Source organism: Homo sapiens, chromosome 6 (genome assembly GCF_000001405.40).
Source record: "Homo sapiens chromosome 6, GRCh38.p14 Primary Assembly".
Lineage (NCBI taxonomy): Eukaryota > Metazoa > Chordata > Mammalia > Primates > Hominidae > Homo > Homo sapiens.
Window position 1 is genome coordinate 26,323,304 of NC_000006.12, and position 23,151 is coordinate 26,346,454.

At 42.1% G+C, this 23,151-nt stretch overlaps 2 long non-coding RNA genes and 4 other non-coding genes across 7 annotated transcripts, besides 4 other annotated features; 3 read left to right on the plus strand and 3 right to left on the minus strand.

Annotated features, from left to right (window-relative positions):
- Positions 1–1,569: 1,569 nt before the first annotated feature.
- Positions 1,570–8,655, minus strand: LOC101928743 (uncharacterized). Its single transcript, XR_241992.5, has 3 exons — positions 8,424–8,655; positions 5,707–5,784; positions 1,570–1,860 (listed from the first exon to the last, which is right to left on the minus strand). It is a non-coding gene; the product is annotated as an uncharacterized LOC101928743 (long non-coding RNA).
- On the plus strand, positions 4,286–4,367 carry TRS-AGA2-1 (tRNA-Ser (anticodon AGA) 2-1). Its single transcript has one exon. It is a non-coding gene; the product is annotated as a tRNA-Ser (tRNA).
- Positions 4,837–4,909, plus strand: TRR-ACG1-1 (tRNA-Arg (anticodon ACG) 1-1). The gene has a single exon. It is a non-coding gene; the product is annotated as a tRNA-Arg (tRNA).
- TRX-CAT1-4 (tRNA-iMet (anticodon CAT) 1-4) lies at positions 6,998–7,069 on the minus strand. Its single transcript has one exon. It is a non-coding gene; the product is annotated as a tRNA-Met (tRNA).
- On the minus strand, positions 8,141–8,212 carry TRW-CCA3-2 (tRNA-Trp (anticodon CCA) 3-2). The gene has a single exon. It is a non-coding gene; the product is annotated as a tRNA-Trp (tRNA).
- On the plus strand, positions 8,515–16,982 carry LOC124901288 (uncharacterized). Of its 2 annotated transcripts, XR_007059521.1 has the most exons (3): positions 8,541–8,604; positions 10,771–10,833; positions 16,391–16,982. It is a non-coding gene; the product is annotated as an uncharacterized LOC124901288 (long non-coding RNA). The 2 variants fall into 2 exon arrangements; XR_007059522.1 differs by lacking the exon at positions 10,771–10,833 and having other exon boundaries at positions 8,515–8,604.
- Positions 8,569–8,750: a silencer, noted in NCBI's record as "fragment chr6:26332100-26332281 (GRCh37/hg19 assembly coordinates)". NCBI's record gives its function as "represses an EF-1alpha promoter that drives an FKBP-Casp9 reporter gene in an ReSE screen in HepG2 liver carcinoma cells {active_cell/tissue: HepG2}" and the evidence as "EXISTENCE:reporter gene assay evidence [ECO:0000049][PMID:32094911]".
- Positions 12,975–13,653: a transcriptional cis regulatory region, noted in NCBI's record as "candidate enhancer chr6.1147 targeted for multiplex CRISPR interference". NCBI's record gives its function as "positively regulates H1-2 and H2BC12 gene expression in K562 cells {active_cell/tissue: K562}" and the evidence as "EXISTENCE:mutant phenotype evidence [ECO:0000015][PMID:30612741]".
- Positions 12,975–13,853: a biological region, named in NCBI's record as "CRISPRi-validated cis-regulatory element chr6.1147". NCBI's record gives its function as "regulatory_interactions: H1-2 | H2BC12".
- Positions 19,207–19,346: an enhancer, noted in NCBI's record as "active region_24238". NCBI's record gives its function as "activates an Ori minimal core promoter by ATAC-STARR-seq in GM12878 lymphoblastoid cells {active_cell/tissue: GM12878}" and the evidence as "EXISTENCE:reporter gene assay evidence [ECO:0000049][PMID:35858748]".

The window sequence follows — 23,151 nt, forward strand, 5'->3', positions numbered from 1 at the left end:
GGCTGTAGAATGCACTCTAGACCATAAAGCACGTCAGACCCAATTACAATTTAGCGCCAAGCTACGTGAGTTTTAAGGCTATTACGACAGGGGTAATGTGAAGCTCCCACGGGAACCTCTTGGAAAGACTGGGGTACGAAGGAAGGCAGAAAAGAGGTCCACACGTTTGACAAAAGTATCTTCTAACAAATACAGAAGACTGGTAGAATTAGAAGAATCACCATTTGCAACCCTTAGAAAAATAATAGACCAAAGCAACGAACGAGCTTAACGACCTTAATTAAAACCGTTAGGAAAAGGTGGTTGGGAAATAACATATGCTCATGGTGTTAAGTGCCACCCCAAAACTACTTGTCAATTGCAAAGAGAGAAATAAAGAACCTTGGGGGGCACCACTCGGTCTTCACCATCAACAGGATATCCCTACAAGTGCCTTCTGATGTGAAGTTAGTACAGTGTAAAGAACAGCGTCTGGGCAAAAATGTTTAACCTAAATCTAAGCACTCAAATTAATCACAAAAGCAAATTTATCTTCTAATTTAAAAGGAACAAAAATAAATTAAAAGATGCCATAAGGAAATAATGAGACAAATCCAGAATGTAGGACATTCTATGAGACAATTAGACTTTTTTGCTTATTTTGTTTTGTTTGCTTTGTTTTGAGACAGAGTCTCGCTCTGTCGCCCAGGGCTGGAGTGCAGTGGTGAAATCACGGCTCACTGCAGCCTCGACTTCCGGTGATCAAGTGATCCTCACCTCAGCCTCCCGAGTAGCTGGGACCACAGGCACACACCACCATGCCTGGCTAATTATTTTTCTGTTTTTTGTAGAGACAGGATCTCCCTGTGTTTCCCAGGCTGGGGGAAGGAAGGGAGGAAGGGAGGAAGGGAAGAAGGGAGGGAGGGAGGGGAAGATTAAAAGATGTCATGAGGAAATAACAATAAAAAGAAAAAGCTGGGAAACTGTTCTAATGTGAAAGAATAGGAAACATAAAAACTGACTCTAAAAATATATTAGATAAATAAATACTCAGATGTTTTTAGTCACTTATTTAGAGTTTCTTTCCGTCGCCCAGGCTGGAATGCAGTGGCGCGATCACTGTAACCTTGAACTCCTGAGCTCAAGCCATCCTCCCGCCTAAAATTCCGGAGTAGCTGGGATTACAGGAGCGCGCCACCAGGCCAGGCTGATTTTTTAAAATCTGTTTTGTACAGAGGCACAAGAGAAGGGCTTGTTTTGTTACAGGTGCTCTCAAACCCTGGGGTCACGAAATCCCGCGTCAGCATTCCAAAACGTTACAGGCATGAGCCACTGCACCCAACCAGATATGAGATATTTTTAAAGAATTGCTCGATTGTTTTAGTTTTGTTCATGATATTGTAGTTAAATAAAAGACGCATGTTTAGGCGACACATGTTTATGGATTTTGGTGTTCTATATCACAATGTCTGCAAGTGAGTTTCATATGATTCAGTAGAAATAGGTAGATGAGGCTAAGACGGCAAAATGTTAATTATTGAATGTGGGTGATGAGTATACAGATAATTGCCTATTCTTTCACATTCTTTATATGTTTGAAAGTTTTTACAATAAAAAATTTAATTTTTCAAGAAGGCTTGACAGAGGCTGTGCTATTTTTAAAAAGGCCTTGAAGGATGAGCTCTGGGGCTCCAAGCAAACATGGCAGAGGTCAGGGCGAAGAAACCCGCACCATCTGAGATAGGGCTGGTCCTTTCACTTCTCAGGAGTTCCAGGCCCCCTTGACAGAGTGACCAGAAGAGGAGCTGAAAAGGTCGGACAGATGCAGAAGATGAAGGCCTCCCATGTCATCTGCGATCTTCTCGCTAGGCCACAGGGTACCTTAAAGGCATTAAAGGAGGTAAGGGACACAGTCAGAAACACATTCTGGGTTAGTGCTAACTTAGCTCTACTTACATAATCTGCCCTCAACTACATTTCCGGTGTTATCTCTCATCAATGCCCTTCCCAGTACCCCTCCAAAAAGCAATGTTTCAACTAGAGGGAACTTTCTTCAGTTTCTCCCATATTCCTTGAGGTTTAGGTTTGGAACACTACCCTACCCCGTTTTCTCACCCCACACCAATTTGTCTCATTTTAACACATCCTTCAGATCCAGATCTGAGCTTAAGTATAATTCATTCCAAAAATACTTAATTAAGCACCTATGGAGGACTCAGAGGTAAAGAAGGTAAAACTAGAACCTTTCTTCGTGAAGCTTGGAGTCTAAGTGACCCTCCAGGCAACCACCTAAAACCTTTGTGGTTGAGATCCAGAACTCTTTCTGTGGGCTACTTACTGTGTTAGGGCTGCACTTCTCACTTGCACTCAGTTGTTTTATTGTTAACTTCTGTAATCCTTTAGAAATCTCGCTCTCCATTGAATGAGCAGTACCTAGCAAAGTGCTTGGCTTTTGCTATTTCACATAAAAAGAATTTGAAAAAAATAGGCAATTCTCTGTCTCACTACCCATATACAAAGTGCTTATTTTTATTCTAAAAAAATAAAATTTTTGGAAGAATGAATAAATGAATATATTATTTAAGGGATCAGGAACTGGAGGCCAAAAGACTAAGAAGTTGTTGCAATAACTTAATGAGAAGTTTCTCATGAGTACTTCTAAGTACCTAAACTAAGTACCTCATTTTAAAAAGTGGTCTGAGTAGCTGGGCATGGTGGCACGCGCACCTGTAATCCCAGCTACTAGGGAGGCTGAGGCAAGAGAATTGCTTGAACCCGGGAGGCGGAGGTTGCAGTGAGCCAAGATCGTGCCACTGCACTCCAGCCTGGATGACAGAGCGAGGCTCCGTCAAAAAAAAACAAAAAAAAAAGGTGGTCTGAGGGCTGGGGAAGAAGAGCCAGATTTGAGAGCTAATTAGAAGGTTGAATTGAGGGCCTGCTGGGAAGGGAATCAGAGAGACATAAAAGGACAAGGGTAGTCTTCGGTCTTGGTAGCCAGTCTTCGGTTTTGGTATCTCATCAAAAATTTGGATTGTTGGAGGAAATTTAAGTTTGAGGAAAATGATGGAACATTCCTTTGGGGTTGCATTGCTTTTGAGATGCCCATGGACATGCAAGAAAAAAAAATAGGACAACTGTATATTCTGGAGCCCAGAGGAGAGAGATCTGGAGTAGAGACGATTTTCAATCCATCCGCACATGAGCAGTAGTTCATCAATCATTCCTTACCCTTCTTCTGTTCATAGAGTTGGGCCATTGATGAAATACAGAATCCCTGACTTGCTCACTAATACTCACACACACACACACGCATAGTATTGTGGTAATGGTAGTGCAGTTTTAGAACCTGGGGTTCTGCTCTTCCTTTGGAAGTGGTCTTTGAATATAATTTCAAACTATTCACAGAATATCAGATGCAGTTGTTCTTCCCCTTGTGAGAGAAGGCCCCATAAACGAAAGAGGATTTGACCAGCAAAAATATTTTTTACTTTCTAGTTTCTTTCAGAAATGTTCTTTCAGCTGGTTAAAATATTCTGAGTTTTATGAAAAGACAGAAGCCTATCTTCACTGAAGAACCTTTTGATGAATCTAGATTCTGGGGTTTTACAATGATAGTTACAATTGTACTGACATTTGTTGAGCCGTTAGTATATCGCAGGCACTGGACTTTGTCAGAAAATATAGGGGATCTCTGTGGAACATCAGTGTTATTTACTGAGGATAATTTTCTTTCTTTTTATTTTTTTAATCTATTTTTTATTTTTTTTTTACCCCCGAGACGGAGTCTTGCTCTGTCGCCCTGGCTGGAGTGCAATGGCGCGATCTCGGCTCACTGTAAACTCCGCCTCCTGGGTTCAAGCGATTCTCCTGCCTCAGTCTCCCGAGTAGCTGAGATTACAGGCGTGCACCACCACCTTGGCTAATTTTTTTGTATTTTTAGTACAGACGGGGTTTCGCCATGTTGGGCAGTTTCAAACTCCTGACCTCATGATCTACCCGCCTTGGCCTTCCAAAGTGCTGGGATTACAGGCGTGAGCCACCGCGCCCGGCCTGAGGATAATTTTCTTACTAGGCAAAAATATGAGAATTGTAAAAGTTGTTGAAACATATTCCTGATTTGCATTATAAAAAAGACCCAAAGAACATTCTTAGCGTATCATGTATGTGCCTGAATTTGAAGTTTGTTGATTGCTTCCAAGTTTTATTCTTAAGATACGAATTCAGCTATTATTAAATCCCTAATAAAAGGAGTACAATATGTGATGTATGGAAACATGTAAGACATTTAATAAGGTTTTTGGTATCTGTAGTCGTGGCCGAGTGGTTAAGGCGATGGACTAGAAATCCATTGGGGTCTCCCCGCGCAGGTTCGAATCCTGCCGACTACGGCAGTGGGTTTTTGCATCTTCAAGCAGGTTTCATCCGACCGATCGATATTTCACGTGTAAAAAGGCTTTCGATCTTTTACAAGTTAACATCAAAATGGATTTCTTGGGGATTCAGGGCAGGACAATTTCAATTTATGTCTCAGAGGTCCTCAAAATGGATTTCTCATTGCCCAAAGTAAACCTTATCTCTGATCTTTTACAAGTTACATCATAATGGATATTTCATTGTTCAGGAAGGAATCATTGTGCACAAGGATGGATTTCTCATTACCCACGAAGGAATCATACTTCATGAGTAAAACAAGTCAAAGGAACAAATAAAACTATATTTTGTTTTAATTGGAGGGTTTTGGGTTCAAAATCCTTATGATCAGAAAGAAATAAAATTTCATATATTCATGTATAGGAGGACGCGGTAATCCCAAAACGTTTTTTTCTATAGGTATAACGCCTGTCTTCGTTCGTCAGAGGGCCAGTGGCGCAATGGATAACGCGTCTGACTACGGATCAGAAGATTCCAGGTTCGACTCCTGGCTGGCTCGTTCGACTTTAGTGGAAACTTTGAGGTTTACATAAATGCCCCTTCCCTGGGCACTCATATACATTTTATGTATTTTATCATTTTAATTTTTAAAAGAATTACACAAGATGACAAAAATTTTTATAATATAGACTCCAGCTTCAGTTCACTATTGTTTTACATACATAAGAGTTTTTTTTTTTTAAATCACATCACTAAATTGATAAGTTTCAGAACTGACCAATTTTCACATTGCTTGATAAAACTTAATACAGGGGAATTTTTTTTTCTTTTTTTGAGATGTATCACTGTGTCGCCCAGGCTGCAGAGCAGTGGCGCGATCTCAGCTCACCGCAACCTCTGCTTCCTGAGTTCAAGCGATTCTCCTAGCCTCAGCCTCCAGAGTAGCTGGGATTACAGGCATGTGCCACGACACCCAGCTAATTATTTTTGTATTTTTAATAGAGAGGAGGTTTCGCCATGTTGGCCAGGCTGGTCTGGAACTCCTGATCTCAAGTGATCAGCCCGCCTCGCCCTCCCAAAGTGCTAGATTACAGGCGTGAGCCACCACGTCCGTTTGGGAAAACCTTGTGTCATTCTGTGAGAGTTACGATTGAGAATTCACAAACAGAAAATTTCTAGATAGCAAACAATTTTGGTTTCTTTTCTATCCTTTTCGCATACTCATAATTTCAAGAATCACTTGAAACAAAAATCAAGTCTCTTCTCTGCTCCCTGTCCTCTAGCAATTTTTAAAGTTATTGAAACATATTCCTGATTTGCATTATAGAAAACACCCAAAGAACATTCTCAGCTTACCACATATGCGCCTGAACTTGAAGTTTGTTGATTCCTTCTAAGTTTTGTTGGCAGGACGTGAACTCAGCTATTAAATTCCTGGTAAAGCGAGAGGTACAATATGTGACATATAATAACATGTACGACGTTTAAGAAAACTTTTGGCACCTATAGTCGTGGCTGAGTGGTTAAGCCTACTTTTTAAACATTTAAATAGCTTATTTTAAAATTATTTACCTACATATCTCTAAATAATATGTTTGTATGGACCTTCTGTTGACTTTATATAAGAGGAGTAACTGGTTCACTTTCTTCTTCACACCCCAGGACCCCCGACACACACATGCTCCCTTTCTAAGTCTTCTCATATGGTTATAGCACAATACATGATACTTTAATATTTGTAGCTTAAAATATGACAACTTTATAAACATAATTCAACAAGTGGGCAAAGAAATACATTGTTAAGTTTTCCTTTCCTTGCAATTTTTATTTTTCCCCGGCATTAGTACATAACTGTCTTTTCTTGTTGTTTTACTGCTTAAGCTTCTAGACACTTTTCATTAATTCAACCCCAAGCATTTCGTCAGTTGTCTAAACATTTCTCCAAAAGTTCAAAAGCTTTGCACAGTCTGTAGATTTCATCCTACTTTAAACATGTCTCCTTATGCATCTGTATTAGTTTGAGTAAACAGAAAAATAAGAACAGGAAAAAAAGTGTCACCTACAGCCTGCTCAAATCTGGACATGTTACTATATGTCACATATGGTACCTCTCATTTTACTAGGGATTTAATAATACTAGGTGAGTTCATGTCCTACTAATAAAACTCGGAAGGAATAGCTGAAATAACTTTTGAAGTTTGCTGTAAATATTAGTGTTTGTAATTATGCAGAACGGCGGTTTAGAGTTTTATCTTTGCTCTACCATTTACTAGCTGCATGACTTTGGGCAAGTTAGTTAACCTCTGCAAACCCCAACTTGCAGACAAACCCCAATTTGTCTCATTTGTAAAGTAAGAGTAATAGCAAGTATTTACTTCGTAGAATTGCGAGGAATAAATGATTCAGAACTTGGAATAGTGCATGGTATCTATTAACTGTTCAAACAATCAAAGCTAAAACTACTGCTTTTGTTATTTTTAATCTAATTAGGATAGTAATGTATTGCAACCAGAGATATAGATCTCTGAGAGAGGTGCAAATCAAAATAAGTTCCCTTACGGTGTCCATGACAATTATACCAATTTCCTCCTCCTATGAGGTAGATCTATTTTTGGAAGGGGGAAAAACAAATCCACAAAACGCTCCCTAGCAGAGGATGGTTTCGATCCATCGACCTCTGGGTTATGGGCCCAGCACGCTTCCGCTGCGCCACTCTGCTACGCGAGTCACAGGTCCCAGAGTTAATAGTCACCTTTTTTCTAGCGTGTCAAGTTTCCAAATCTCAAAATTATGTCTTCTCTCTTTTTTTTTTTTCCAGAGCAGTAATCTGTTCGTAATATGGCCATAGGCTTAGACTACTACTAAGAAAAGAGTTAATAAGAAATAGGAAAAAGGTTATTTTAGGTACACTTCTCCGATGTAATGTTTGTCACTGTGTATTGTGTGAATGTGTACAGTAAATACATAAGAGAAAATCTGCTAATATTTCAAATGTCATGTTTTAAAGTCATTGTAAGTTATAAAAATTTAAACACTTCTGAAGAAATAAACGTACTTTTCCTTTTTTCCATGTTGTAATTTGCTAATTCATAATCTGTAGGGGGTCTTGAGCCACATGTGGGGAAAAAAACGGCACATTCATGCACATTTTCAGATAATACTATAAGGGGGTTCACGGAATAGCTAGCCTTCTCTGATGTAATGGTTCATTCCCTGTATGAATTTGAGAAAGTAACTGCATTCAGGTTTTCTGCCTCTGGAAATCAAGTGACTTCTTCCGTGATTTGCAGGGAGGGTTGAGGAAATCGCAGAGATCCAGGGAAGTTCAATGGAATCGCTTTAGCCTGGAACAGCTGATCCAAATATGAAGCAGGTAAGCTTAGGTCATCCACTCAAACCAGACTACGTCTCTGCGAAGATCTGCTAAGCTTCTGAAGGTTGGAGAGACAGACATGGATGAAAAGATAAGGCCGCGGGCGTGGGAGTGAGTATGGAGAGAAGTCCAGGAGGGTTTAACAATAGGGATGAGTTGCTGAAGAGTATAATTCAGAATGTTTGCAATAAAAGAGTGAAAACGTCTCTATAAACCCGGAAATAAGCCCCAAAATACCATAACATATTCCTGTATATATCTTCCTACTAAAAAAAGAGAAGGGGGTAGTTTTGAGGAGGCTAAAGTAACTGAGTATACAAGTGCCTAAGAGAAGCAGGAAAAGCAACTTTTTTCCCCCTGTAATATGTAATGTACTCCCCGCCATACAGTTATCTGAGCCAGCGAGCTAAAAACTGTTGACCCCGACGTGATTTGAACACGCAACCTTCTGATCTGGAGTCAGACGCGCTACCGTTGCGCCACGAGGTCTCCGGGACACCTACGTTTTATTTACCTGTCAATCTGATTCATGAAAATAATTTCGGTACTGGTGAAGACCAGGCAGCTATTAACAGATACAAAATAGTGCCTAGCTGCTTCCCTCTCGGTAAAATTGCTGTCCGCCCAATCACTGATTTTCTCTGCCTCTGAATTGCTTCATTTTCACCTGTTCTTGTTTATATTTCATTCCGTTTCTTACCTAGTTTTCCCTGTATATTCCAAATATAGACGTCTTGGGAGTTTCGTTGTTTTTATCTTTATAGAAATACATTCTGTTGAAGGTCAGTCGCTTTGGAATGGGGTTGTAGAGAGGAGGTAGCGAAGAGGGAATAATGAGGATCCTTCCTCTCCCAACTCCTCATTAAGGAACTCTGATCAAGGTGAGTTTTAAATTCGTTTCCAAAGTTCACTGCAGGTCACAACCAGTGTTTCCGTTAACGAATTCACGCGGGGGCTGGCAGGTTGTTTGTGCTGCATCTTTTCTGAGAGATAACGGCGCCTCCCTGTAGCCTCCGTTCTCAGCTGATGAGAGAGTTGATTTCACACCCCGATAATTCTTCAAAATCAGATCGCTGGACCTGAAACTGACCCTAAAAAGAACAAGAAATCCTGTCATCAGGAGTAAGTGGGTTATTCTGGCACTGTGCTTTGTTTGGCTGGTTAAAGAACCTGCCTTGGGTAACCAGAGATCGGAGTTTTCTAAAGTCAGCGGGGTTTGTCTGGGGACCCCGAATTTACATACAGACGATCTCCGCAAATAGTGCAGGGGCCGCTTTGAACTCTTAGGAAAAGATATTCCAAAAAGTGGTCCACTGCTATAAAACACTCATCTTTCTCTGAAAATTAAGGACCCCCCGCCTCGCCCCACCCCGCCCCACCTTTTCCCCCGCCTTGCTGTGGACTAGAGAAAGGTTTCCCTGTCTTAATTCTGAAAAACTGTCCAAAGCCCAAGGGCTCCAGCTGGCGATTGTTAAGGACCATAAATCCTAAATTGAAGGAGTTTGTGTTTGACCTGTAGATATCAGAGTAGCTTTGGTAGGTTGTGTGCTGTTATTTGGCTGTTAACAAGCTAAGGTCATTCTACGGGGTTGTGGAAAGAGATTAGGGGGCTTGGGTGAGGGGTGCGTTGGGAGTCAGAAGCAGTGGGCAACGAAATGAACGGGCGTTTCAGAATATAAATAACCGAGGGCTTAGGAGGATCTGCAGCAGCTTACAGAATGAAAGGATACTCCAGATTTGGTGTTACCAGAGAATCCTGTGTGATCTGCTGTTGACTGAAAGTTGAAATACATACTTTTCTCATCTATAAAATTGTGATAATAATATCCACCTCATAGGACTGTTGTGAGTTTATTTACGTATTGTGCGCTAAAAGAGTTTATACATGCTTAGAAAGATGCCTGGCACATCAATTGCTCTCAATAAATGTTAGTATCACTATAAAGTTTGGTGAAATTCTTACTTTGTTTTTTGTTTTTGTTTTGTTTTGTTTTTTGTTGTTTTTGTTTTCAGAGACAGGGTCTCTCTCTCTCTCTGTTACCGAGGCTGGAGTGCAGAGGCTCCAACACAGCTCACTGAAGCCTCAACCTTCAGGGTTCAAGCCATTCTCCTGCCTCAGGTTTCCTAGTAGATGGGACTACAGGGCCACCACTCACAGCTAAAGTTTGGTGACATTCTTAAATGCATTTGGTGTAGCCTCATTCAGCAGAGAGTGTAGTAAAATTTACATTTATCAATTCTTGATTTCTTCCATAAATTTACATTTTGGTGTTAGCAAACAATTAAATACATTTGCTCATTTTAGATGTTAGAATTTTTCTGTAATGAGGATAACAAAAAAAAAGTAGTAATAATGGACATCATCCCAGGTTGCAGCTAAAATTGGACAGGACATTGACAGCATCCAGCTGTGGAGAAACCTGGAAATGAACACAAATTCAGATCAGCAACTGGAATGAAAAACTCAGTGAAATACTTTAACTTATAGAAGTTTACTCACTCATTTTAATTGATATTTAAATCTGCTGTGATTCACAGCACAGCAGATTGTCTGGTTATTTATAATGAACTGTTTTTAACACAGAAGCTAGTCTGGGCCCAGCATGGTGGCTCAGCACTTTGGGAGGCTGAGGTGGGTGGATCACTTGAGGTCAGGAGTTCAAGACCAGGCTGGGCAACATGATAAAACCCCATCTCTACTAAAAAATACAAAAATTAGCCGGGTGTGCCTGTGATCCCAGCTACTTGGGTGGCTGGCTGAGACACAAGAATCACTTGAGCCCATGAGGTGGAGCTTGCAGCGAGTCAAGATCATGCAACTGCACTCCTGCCTGGGCGACAGAGTGAGATTCTGTCAAAAAAAAAAAAATATGAAGGTCTGTTTCTTTTCCCATCAGAAACACAGCCAATCTACATTTCCCAGCCTCCCTTGCAATTAGATGTAGCCATGTGGCTGAGATATGGCCAATGAAATGTGGGAAGAAGTCTTGGTTTAGGAAAACTTCTCATGAGTGTTCCTTTCTCTTTCTGTTGGTCAAATGCTGAAGATCCAGTGAAGAACTCCATGATCCTAGAGCCAAAGCCGCTCAATGATCTCTTGGTGATCACTGGTAAGACCAACCAGAAAACCTGCATTAGATGTTGCCTGAGGGGAAAAAAGACATTTATTGAGTTTAAAAACTGAGACTTATGGTTATAGCTGTGTTATAGCAACTCCATTATATAGTAACGCAAGTGTTAAAGCTAATGGTATCACTAGCTATTCATAACTAATATAACAATGCTTTATTTCTCCTTGCTCATTTGTCTCCCATGTTTTAGTGCATAAACTAATCTCATAATTACAGCATTCTCATAAAACACCATGTAATAAGGTAACTAGAATCATTAACACATACATGCTAAACATATGGCAGAAAATAGAATTTTCCAAAATTCTAAAAATTATTACCTCATTTAATAATGCATCATTGTTTCGTAAATTAATTAGGATATCTCCCGCACTTTACTTTCTCACCCTAAAAAACCAAGCTGAGCAGAAATATATAAATAGATAATACTCTTTAGTAAATGCAATACAAGGCTGGGCGTGGTGGCTCACACCTGTAATCCGAGCACTTTGGGAGGCCAAGGCATGCAGATCCCTTGAGCCCAGGAGTTTGAGACCAGCCTGGGCAACTTGGCAAAACCCTATCTTTACAAAAATTAGTAGGGCATGGTGGTGCACACCTGTAGTTCTAGCTACTCAGGAGGCGAGGTAGAAGGATTGCTTGAATCCAGGAGGTCAAGATTGCAGTGAACCAAAATCGTGCCACTGCACTCTAGCCTGGGTGACAAAGTAAGACCCTGTCTCAAAAAGAAAAAGAAAAAAAAGAAAGCTGGGTGCGGTGGCTCATGCCTGTAATCCCAGCACTTTAGGAGACTGAGGTGGGCGGATCATGAGGTCAGGAAATCGAGGCCATCCTGGCTAACATGGTGAAACCCCATCTCTACCAAAAATACAAAAAAAAAAAAATTAACCGGGTGTGGTGGCAAGTGCCTGTAATCCCAGCTACTCAGGAGGCTGAGGCAGGAGAATCACTTGAACCTGGCAGGCGGAGGTTGCAGTGAGCTGAGATCGCGCCATTGCACTCCAGCCTGGGTGACAGAGCGAGACTCCGCCTCAAAAAAAAAAAAAGTAAACGCAATACTACCCTAAAAATGTTATATTAATGTGAACTTCGTTCTAGGTATAATCTTATTTTAGCCTGACTCAGATTTCTTCCCACTCTCATCAAAGCAAAGATGTTTTTTAATTTATTTTTTAAGAAATTAGTAAATTTCAATCCCACATTTATATTTTGTTGAGCTCCTTACTGTCTTGGTCATTCCCAGATGGGTGTGCTGGTAAATGTTTAACAACCAGCTCTTGAGGGAAAGACACTATCTTAGCAAGTAGTGCTTGCAAATTCTCTCACCATAACTGATTCAAACTACAGATGCAGAGTCACTGAATGTGAAGTTGGGAAGAGATGTGCATAACGGGCTCCTGTGAGCCAGTACAAGGGGCTCTATTGTACCACCAAGGTCTAGTCTATAGTTTTCTCAACAGTAATGACACTTAGAAGAAACTAATTGTCTTAGTCTGTTTGTGTTGCTATAAAGGAATAACTGAGGCTGGGTAATCTTAAAGAAAAGAGGTGTATTTGGCTCATGGTTCTGCAGAATGTACAAGAAGTATGGCACCAGCATCTGCTTCTGATGAGGGCCTCAGGAAGCTTCCACTCATGGTGGAAGGTGAAGGGAAGCCAGGATGTGGAGGTCGCATGGTGAGAGAGAGAAAGTGAAAGAGGAGGAGATGCCAGGCTCTTTTTAACAACCAGTTCTGTGAGAACAAAGAGTCAGAACTCACTCCCTCCAGTGAGAATAGCACCAAACTATTCATGAAGCATCTGCCCCCGTGACCCAAACACCTCCCCCAAGGCCCTGCATCCAACATCGGGATCAAATCTCAGCATGAGATTTGGTGGGGTCTAACAAACCATATCCAAACCATAGCACTGACATTTATTAAGCATTTATGTGCCAATAATATTTCTCTGAATTTTTATATGCTGACATATAATATATTCCATCTTTACAATAAGTCTGTGAAGTTGGTGCTGAAAACATAAAAAATTGCCCAACATCTAGAAGCTAAAAGCTAGGACAATTGAACACACACAATTTTTACACACAAAAAAATTGTTTTTGTTTATCTTGTTGCATGGTATAAACAATGATCAGACAAGGCCGTTGTGTTACCTGAGATGGAACAAGATGAAGACAAGATCACTCCGTAACTATGTATGACACAGGAAAGAAATAAGGACACTCTACATCCATAAAAAAAAGTAAACACCCCTTTTGCAGGATAGTAGAGTGACTATGATTTCTTACCAATGACATCCCCAGCCCCACTTGAATTCTTCTCCTGCCTCCTAGATAAAAATTCAAAAAAGTGACTCACACTGTTACTGAATTGCTCCACTTCCTGACCACACCCAGTCCAGAGCTGATATTTGATTCCCTTACACTCTCCTTAGAATAGTAAGCTTCTCCAAACTCCCCCTTACCTAGATGCCTTACTGTTCCACTAGTGTTCATTCTCTCTTGCTGTAGCAAGTTTAATAAACCTAGCTTTGTTTGACCACAGGTGTGTTCCTAGAGGTCTTTGGTAGCAGACTTTAACAGTGTCAGTAGTTTCATTTTACAGAAAAGAAAATTAAAGTTTAAACTGAAGAGTTAGGGAGCCTGTTGTTTGAGATAAGATTTCATATAAGAGATCACTTTACCTTCCTGCAAGGAGCAGATGATCTAGGCTGAACTTATAAGACATTGTCACAAACAGCAAAATGAACTGGCTGCCAAGATAAGGATTCACAGATGGGTAACCCAGAGATTAGCCACAACAGGAAGCTATTATCACCCCTGAGGATGGAGGGGCAGTGGGAAGAGGCCATGTTAGAGCCCAGAGTGGGAGGTAGAAGGGTGACAGTGGTCTGCAGAAAATGACCATCAGGAGCTAGAATTCCAAAGGGAGAATCTCAGACCTTGGAATGGATGCAGCTATTGCAGGCAATGCTACAGGAAGCAGAAAGAAAGAATATCCTGGCCTCAGGGTTCCTCTTGAATTCCAACCTTTTGTCATTCTCCCATTGGCTAATCCTACCCAGAAGCCAGAAGGCAAGGATGTTCAAAGCAGAAGAAGGATGGGGAATGAATCTGACAACAAAAAGTCAACCTGATTTACAAGACAACTTGATTGACACCTCCCAATTATGATCAAAGTATTAAATCTACTGAAAACGTTTTAATGAGGTCGGGAGCATGCCTGTAATCCCTGCACTTCAGGAGGCCAAAGTGGGTGGATAACTTGAGGTCAGGAGTTCAAGACCATCCTGGCCAACATGGTAAAACCCCATCTCTACTAAAAATACAAAAATTAGCCAGACATGGTGGCACGTACCTATAGTCCCAGCTACTTTGGAGGCTGAGGCACAAGAATCACTTGAACCCAGGAGGTGGAGGCTGCAGTGAGCCAAGATCATGCCATTGCTCTGCAGCCTGTGCAACAGAGGGAGACTCAGTCTCAAAAATAATAATAATAATAATAATAAATTCATAGTAATAAAAATGTTTTAATGAATGTATAAATGAGTCTTCTCATTGGAGTTTGCTCTTTGAACTAATTGCTTCTAATATGCAGTTTCTAATCATAAGAACTCCAATATAACATAGGGTTATATTTAATATGTATTTATAGAAGTGCCTAAGTTTTATAGCATAAAAATCACAGGGAACAACAAATTACAAATATTCAATTTTAAAAAGTTTTCTTTTCTTTTCTTTTTTTAGACTGAGTCTTGCTTTGTTGCCCAGGCTGGAGTGCAGTGGCACAATCTCTGCTCACTGCAGCCTCCGCCTCCTGGGTTCAAGCAATTCTCCTGCCTCAGCCTACTGAGTAGCTGGGATTACAGGCGCACACCACCTCGCCCAGATAATTTTTGTATTTTTAGTAAAGATGGGGTTTCACCATGTTGGCCAGGCTGGTCTTAAACTCCTGACCTAGTGATCCACCCACCTCAGCCTCCCAAAGTGCTGGGATTACAGGTGTGAGCCACCATGCCCAACCAAAATGTTTTCTTTTCTAAGACATAATTATCAAGTATATAAAACATTCCATATCCCAGATACAAAAACAGTAGTAATTCACTTATGAAAGAGTGGCATTTTGATAGTAGGACAGTTTGATGGTTTGATAATAGGATTTTTGTTGGTTTGTATTCAATATAAAGCACTTTAACAAAAAAGCCAGGCCATGATAAGTTAAAGGTCAATTCTTTCACTAGATTTCCTTGCTTTGAGCAAAAAACGTTTAAAAACTTTTTTTTGTAGATTTGAAAAACCAGGCCACAGGAAACATCTCAAATGTCCAACAGTCCTTAGGGTAGATCAAGGGTCAGGAAACATGCCTGCAGGCCAAATGTGGCCTGCTACCTGTTTTTGTATTGCCTACAGCTGTTTTTACATTTTTAGATTGCTGAATATAAATTAAAAGCAGAATAATCATCTGTGCCACATCAACATTATATGAAATTCCAATTTCATTGTCCATAAATAAGGTTTTATCGGGACACAGCCATGTCCATTCATCTATGGCTGCACTACAAGAGCAGTTATGAAAGACACAGGAGGACCTGCAAAGCCAAAAATGTAGCAGAAAATATACAGAAAAAAAGAGTTCAGGCCCCTGCACCACAGAAAGGTGTTTTCTTGCAGACAGAGGCAGCTGTTCCCCTCAGCATCAGACGCATCTCCAGAATTTCTTTCTTATGGGGTTAGCACAGGTATCGGTAAGCAGAAAGATTCAGAAACTTCCAACACATACTGTTGCCCAAGGCCACAGCCTGTGGGAGACTTGAACTTGGGGTGGCCCCTAGTTCCAGCTGACTCCTCTGCTTGTCAGCTTCACTCCCTCTGCTCAGGTTCCCAGCTGTGACTGGAGGCCCAGCTGGAGCTCTGTGCTTGGGCTCCACAGTCCCCATTGTATCCTTATAATAGTATGATACATTCCTTTTTTGTTTTCCTTAATTAAGTTTGAGTTGCATTGTTAGAAACCAAGTGTTAGGATATGAAAGCTCAACTCTTGTGTATGTGTATGTGTATGTTACTTTAGAAAAAACATTCTTTCCATTTTGCAGGGAGGGTAGGCCACCATGTTCTTAATCAGCAGGAAAGTAAACAGGCTCTTTTGTGGTTCTAGATGAGTGATCCATCCATCCATTCATTTATTCATTCAACAAATATTTATTGTTGGCCTAATGTGTGTGAAGCACTTTTCTAGACCCAGGGGATACTACAGTTAACAAACCAATTAAAACAAATTCCTCTGTTCGATGTTACTCTGCCTGGATATGATCCTAGGGACAATCGTAGCCATCTTGTGAGCATGAAGGGAGCTAAGCTGATGCATTGCATTAACCTTGCAAAATGTAAAGATGGAAAAAACCTGGGTCCTTAATGAGGATATATTGGAATTGTCCTCTGTGTTGGTCAGGATTAAAATGCAAACACTCAAACACACTTTAGATTGTTTAAACAGGAAAACATTTTTTACAAGAAATGTTGTAACATTTCTATGTTGAGCATTCAGATTGACTTCCAGTGCCACACTGCAGAATTGAACCACCGAGGGATCTGCTGACTCTTCTAAAATCACTACAGTGTCACTACCACAGCACTACAGCATCACTGCCACAACCAAGAAAACCACCACCATCAGAAAGCTCCTGCCTGCTGCCAGCTCCAGAACCATGCAGCACCTGCATCAACACCAGTAAAACAGATGACTTATGGCCTGCCTCTCAAGTCTTAAAAATCCATTATGGGTCACTGGAGACTCTGCTAACAACACTATACAGGAGAACCAAACAACAGTTAAAACTGCAGAAATGTAGCCTCATTTCTAGCCTCCAAATTCCATGTGACTACATCTAATTTGCTAGATATAGTTTGTTTAAGCTACATTTTTTTTTCCAAATCATGACTGCCTGAGAACCTGAGAGATGTAGTGTTTTGTTTTCCTGCCTCTACAGTACAGAAAAGATCACTAGGAGGAGAGAGAATGACTGTGGCATGCCACCTTACTAGAGCCTCTCCATGTCCTACCTGAGAACTTCTTGTTAATTGAGAAAACTCTTCTTTATTGTTTAAGCCAATAAATCAATCTGACACTCCAGGGTGTGGAATCAGTTCATGCCAGAATTTAGGCCTTCTAAGCCCAACCCTGTTCTCCCACACCTACCACCCCTCACTAACTTTGGTTTTCACACCTCTCCCTTCTCTCATGTGTGGTAGTCACAATATTCAACTAAAGAGCTCAGAGATGAGACTTTCCAGAGAAGAGGGTATCACAGCCAAGTTAAATCTATAGAGGTCTTTCTTAACAGATAACTGAAACAGAATTTCTGAGATCTGGTGAACTCAGCAAGAAACATAGGACTGACTTAGTTTCTTTCTCCATGGGTGAAGATAGGAAGACAAGTTTCTCAGAGAGTGAAGAGGGATGCTTTAAGAAAGAAACTAAGACCTTCTCCGTCTGCTGAACTATCCTTGACAATACCCTTATTTTGGGTTCCTTCTTAGTTACTCTTCCAAAGAAAATGACTTCCCCATTTCCATCCCCAAGTAACTAAAATGTCTACATTTCCTATAGAAACAATGGCATATTTCAGCAACTACCATATGCTGATCACTGTTTAGGAATGCAAAAAATATATCATTCTTGTAGAAGATGTTTATTTTCAGTCTTTAAATGAAATCTCTCTTAATAGCAGGCTCAATTCAAAATCATCTTCTAGTTTTTAAAAATTCGTAGATACGTGGACTTTTGGAACATGTTTTCTAAAAGGACCCCAACCACCTTTTTATGGATTCAGTTTTGTGTCCCCCAAAATTCATATGTTGAAATCCTAATCCTAGTACCTCAGAATGTAACCTTATTTGGATATAGCTTTGGGAGGACCTGAGGCAGAGCTGTAGGGTGTAGGGGAAGCTGTGGATGCTTCCTGGTTCCTCTGGGTGTGAATGTGGCTGACGGGTTCAGAGGCTGAGGATACCTCGCCAGGATGCTGAGGAAAGAAGCCAGGATTTTAGTGGTTCTGCACTCAGAAACCAGGGCACAAGAACGCAGAGGCAGATGCCCTAGTGGACAGACGACCAGGGAGGGCCAGCGGTTCTTCTCCATGCGTGGACACAGGAGCGGTCTTCTCTTCATGTCCAAACTGAGATACCATCTGAGGAAAAGGAGAGGCCCAAAATTAATTAATAAAGCCCTGAATTGACTAGGACGAAGACCATTATTGACTCAGGAGTAGCCTGGTTTGACTAAGATGAAGGATATGCCATTAAGCGGGAAGGGGCAGAGGATGGAAATAAAGCTCAGTTTGCATTCATATAAACGTACAGGCGCGCACCATCATGCCCGGCTAATTTTTGTGTTTTTATTGGTCAGGCTGATCTCGAACTCCTGAGCTCGCGATCAGCCCGCCTCGGCCTCCCAAAGTGTTGGGATTACAGGCGTGAGCCACCACGCCTGGCAACGCCTCTAGGAGCAAAACGTGCATTTCAGCTTTTGAGGTTCCCTGCTGTGCACAGCCCTCAGCTTGCCATCTATAGGCCGCTCCATTGACAGGGGTTGAGAGGGTGAGACTTTCTCAGGCCCACGGCACAGGCAGTGATGCATATCCGCCATGAGGGGGCGGCGAAGCCTAGAGAAAGAGAGAGACACCTGAGACGAGTTCGAAGAGGCGGGAGGAGGGAAAAAGCTGGGGCGGGAGGAAAGGGGACGGGCAGGGAGGGATGGAGAGGAAGAGAGAGAAGGAGGGATGGAGAGGAAGAGAGAGAAGGAGGGAGGGAGAGGAAGAGATGATAGAGTGAGGGAACGAGGAGGAGACGAGGAGGACTTGTGGGAGGAAAGAGAGAGCAGAGAAAAGGTGAGGAGTGGGAGGAGGGAGAGGAGAGAGGGAGGAACGGGAAGGAGGAGAAGAGTGGAGTACGAGGGAAAGAAGGAGGAATGAGAGGTGAAAGGAGCAGGGGAGGAGGGAAAGCAAGTTACTGAAGGGGAAAAACAGTTCTCTGGACAGCAGTTAGCGACAGTTGTAGAGTACTTTACATTTTACAGTGTGTCACAGATACTGGCTCATGTTTCCCTCACAGTAACAACCCAATTAAGCGGTAAGCAGTAATTGCTGTCCACGTATTATTTTCAACCTGAAATGTTATTTTTAACAAAACATACTTTATATATGACAAAATAAAGAGAAACATTGGGGCAAGTGTACAGACTAATGAACATTTACTACGTTTTAGTTTAGTGGTTTTTTGTTTTGTTTTGGTTTGGTTTTGACACAGAGTTTCACTCCTGTCACCCAGGCTGAAGTGCAATGGTGCTGTCTTGGCTCACTGTAACCTCTGCCTCCCCAGTTCAAGCGATTCTCGTGCCTCAGCCTCCTAAGTAGCTGGGATTGCAAGCATGCGTCACCATGCCTGGCTAATTTTTTATATTTTTAGTAAAGACAGGGTTTCACCATGTTGGCCAAGTTGGTCTTGAACTCCTGGCCTCAAGTGATCCAGCCACCTCGGTCCCTCAAAGTGCTGGGATTACAGGCATGAGCCACCAAGCCCGGCCTTGTTTTTTGAGACAGAGTCTCAAAAACCAAGGCTCTGTTGCCCAGGCTGGAATGCGGTGACACAATCACAGCTCACTGCAGCTCCAACCTCCCGGGCTCAAGTGGTTCCTCCCACCTCAGCCTCTATAGTAGCTGGGACTACAGGCATGAGCCACCATGTGTGAGCTACATTTCATGGTCTCTTTAAATCCATTTCTATGTTAATTCTCAGATCTCTGAATAGCATGTCACCAAAAAGCATGCTGTCTGAGCATGTCAGAGCTCAGACACAGAGGCAAAGGGACAGAGCAGCACACAAAACTTAACAGAAGTGCGTTCTCAAGGAGTCGGCTTGCTAATGGTACAGAGAGAAAATAAGTAACACGTAATGTCAGATGATGACTTAAATGTTATGGAGAAAAATTAAGCATAGGCATGGAAGTAGGATAAAGAGGGGCAGGGGACAGGGAAGTGGTTAGGGAGGGTTTTAAGCAGCCTTCTCATCTGTCAAATGGGGACAATAGCCCCTACCTGCAGGCAACACACCCTCTTTCCACCAATCATCCTTGGACTCCTCTCAGGGAGTCAGCCGGGACAGTACCCAGGGTAAGTCATCTTACCTCTCCCCTCCAGCAGGTCTCCAATAGGGAAGGAGGGATGGTTACTGTACATGTGCCCTTCACAATTTCAGATCCTTATAACTGGAAGGCTCATTCTAAATGACTAGAAAGAGATCCTGAGGGGGTCTTATTTCCAGCCCCTCCAAACAAATTTCAGATCAGAATACCATGCTAGTCTTCAACTTCTTAGCAGAAAGGGAAGTTATAAGGTCTCCCAGGGAAAAGCACAGATTTATCAGCAGCAGGTTACCTATTTGGGGTCCCTCCTAGAAGGAGAACAACGTTTGTTCCAAGACAGATGGGAGGTAATATGCCAACTATAAGCACCAGGGACCCAGAAGCAACTCTGAGAGTTCCTGGGAATGGCCTGGTTCTGCCACCTCTGGATTCCTAATTTTGGCCTCATTGCCCACCCCTCATATAAACAATCAAAAGGAAAGGACATGGGCCCTTTTAAATGGATGGTAGAATGCAACCAAGCAGTCCAAGTGGTTAAGACCCAGCTTATGAGAGCCCCAGCATCAGCCCTATCAGCTGTAAGCAAACCCTTCCATCCTTATATCCATGAGAAGAGAAGGAATATCCCTAGGGGTATTAAACACTAGCCTCTCTGCCTCGAGTCTACTTTTCTAAGCAACTGGACCTGGTTGCTAAAGGCAAGCCATCTTGCCTCTGGTCAGTGGCAGCTACAGCCCTCCTCCTGAAGGAGACAGAGAAGCTAACCTTTGGACAGCCCTTAACCATCTGGACTCCTCACCATACCCAAACTCTCATAAAAGAAAGGGAGGCAGAATGGCAATCCCCGGGCAGGACCCTCTAGTTACAGGTAATGCTTATTGATAACTCCCATATAATTTTAAAGGTGTGTAATAATTAGAACCCTACCACCCTCTTTCCATCTAAGGATGGGCATTTATTCCACAACTGTCTAGAAGTGATGGAAGAAGTATACTCCAGTAGACTAGCCCATTGAAGATGCAGAAGCCAGCCGGGCGCGGTGGCTCATACCTGTAATCCCAGCACTTTGGGAGGCTGAGGCAGGCGGATCACAAGGTCAGGAGTTCAAGACCAGCCTGGACAATATGGTGAAACCCGATCTCTACTAAAAATACAAAAAAATTCGCTGGGTGTGGTGGTGGGCACCTGTAGTCCCAGCCACTTGGGAGGCTGAGGCAGGAGAATTGCTTGAACCCGAGAGGTGGAGGTTGCAGTGAGCCAAGATCATGCCACTGCGCTCCAGCCTGGGTGACAGAGCGAGACTCCGTCTAAAAAAAAAAAAAAAAAGAAAAGAAAAAAGAAAATGCAGAAGCCGAATGGTTGACTGAAGAGAGTAGCTGTATGCAAGGAGGACAAAGGAGGACAAGTTATGCTATCTCCTATCTCACTAAAGTTATAGAGGCCCATGCCCTCGCTATGGGATGCTCTTCACAAAGCAGAACTTATTGCACTAACCCGGCTGCTGGAGTTGGGGGAAGGAAAAATTATCAGCGTATACACAGATTCCAAGTATGCCTACTGTATGCTACACACATGGAGCTGTTTGGAAGGAAAGGGGCATGTTAACATCTGATAACAAGCAGGTCAGAATGGTGCTGTCATTTTTAAAGCTATTGGACTTTAAATAAGAGAACCAGCCCATAAGAGAACAAGCCAGGTGGCGATTGTTCACTGCAGGGGCCACCAAAAGCAGAAGCACAAATACAATTATTAATGATTGTTTTTCAGGGCATGTCCTCAAATGTTGACCCCAGGATGCATGGGACCCTGAAATAGAACTGGGGTCCATAGGGTTACATGCCTCCCACTTCCATGCCTGGTTACAAGGGCTTACCACTGCAACATCTGTTCTTTCTCCCCTTCCTTCCTTCCTTCCTTCCTTTCTTTTCTTCCGTTTCTCCTCTCTCTCTTTTTCTTTCCTAAGATAGAGATGGAGTCTTACTATGTTGCCCAGGCTGGTCTTTAACTGCTGAGCTCAAGTGATCCTCCTGCCTCGGCCTCCCAAAGTGCTGAGATTACAGGCATGAGCCACCACCCGCAACCTGCAGTGTCTTTAAAAGGAACTGGAAACCTTCGGTCATGTGGCATAACCCTCTTTATTACTATCTCTCGTTGTTAGAAGGGAGTTTGCATCAATACATCTCATCTAGGGTCCTCAGGGAAAGTATTTAACCTTAGGGTATTCCTTTCCACTGCTTTAAATATCACAGGATCCAAGGCTGTGGAGAAAGGAGCCTATATGATCCAGACCAACTCCACTTTGGGCCCTTAGCTACCTCTAATCTAATTATTAGTAGAAGTGGTATAGGGCACTCCCTATAGCATTTTCTGGTGTCTAGGGATAGGTGACCTAAAGAAGTCCATTAAAAACATCTCAATCCTTATTCAACAACCACAGAAAGCTACAGTCAATACTCTGGATGCTCAACAGACAGCCTTGAACTCCCTACTTCAGTGCTGCAAAACCGAACGACCCTAGATGTACTCACAGCAGAGGCAGGGGCACATGTACCATGTTAAGAGAGGAATATTGCTTCTATATAAATACCTCAGGCCAAGTTGAAGAAAACTTAGAAATCTGTTATCAAAATATAGCTATACTGGACAAGACAAAGGGAGACCCCTCTTCACCCATCCTAGGCAGGATAGCTAATGATTAATTAGGGTGGTTGGGACCATGACTAAGCCCCATTGTCTCAGTAATTGTTCACAGCAGTAACCCTTTTAATTTTTGGTCCCTGACTTCTGAACTCTGTCACCAAGTTTGTTGCAAAAAGCCTAAAAGCCATAAACATTCAAATGTTGGGCTACTCAGGGGTACCAACAGCTAAGCCTATAGCCAGGAGAGAATCAAACCTATCTGAAAATGACCAGGAAGAGTTTCACTCCTTTAACAGGATGCTTGCCTATGCCCAAACTCAGCATAAAGAAGCTACAGAAAATAGACTTTGCCCTTCAGCACCCCTCAAGAATGAGGCGTGAACATTTAAAAAGGGAATTTGTTGCCCTTGCAATGCCTACATGACTTAGCTGGACCCCTATTCTGCTTTTGTTGCCCAATGCAAGGCATATGTGATATACGAAGTAAATTCCTACTCAGCTTAACTCTGCTTAATTTTGG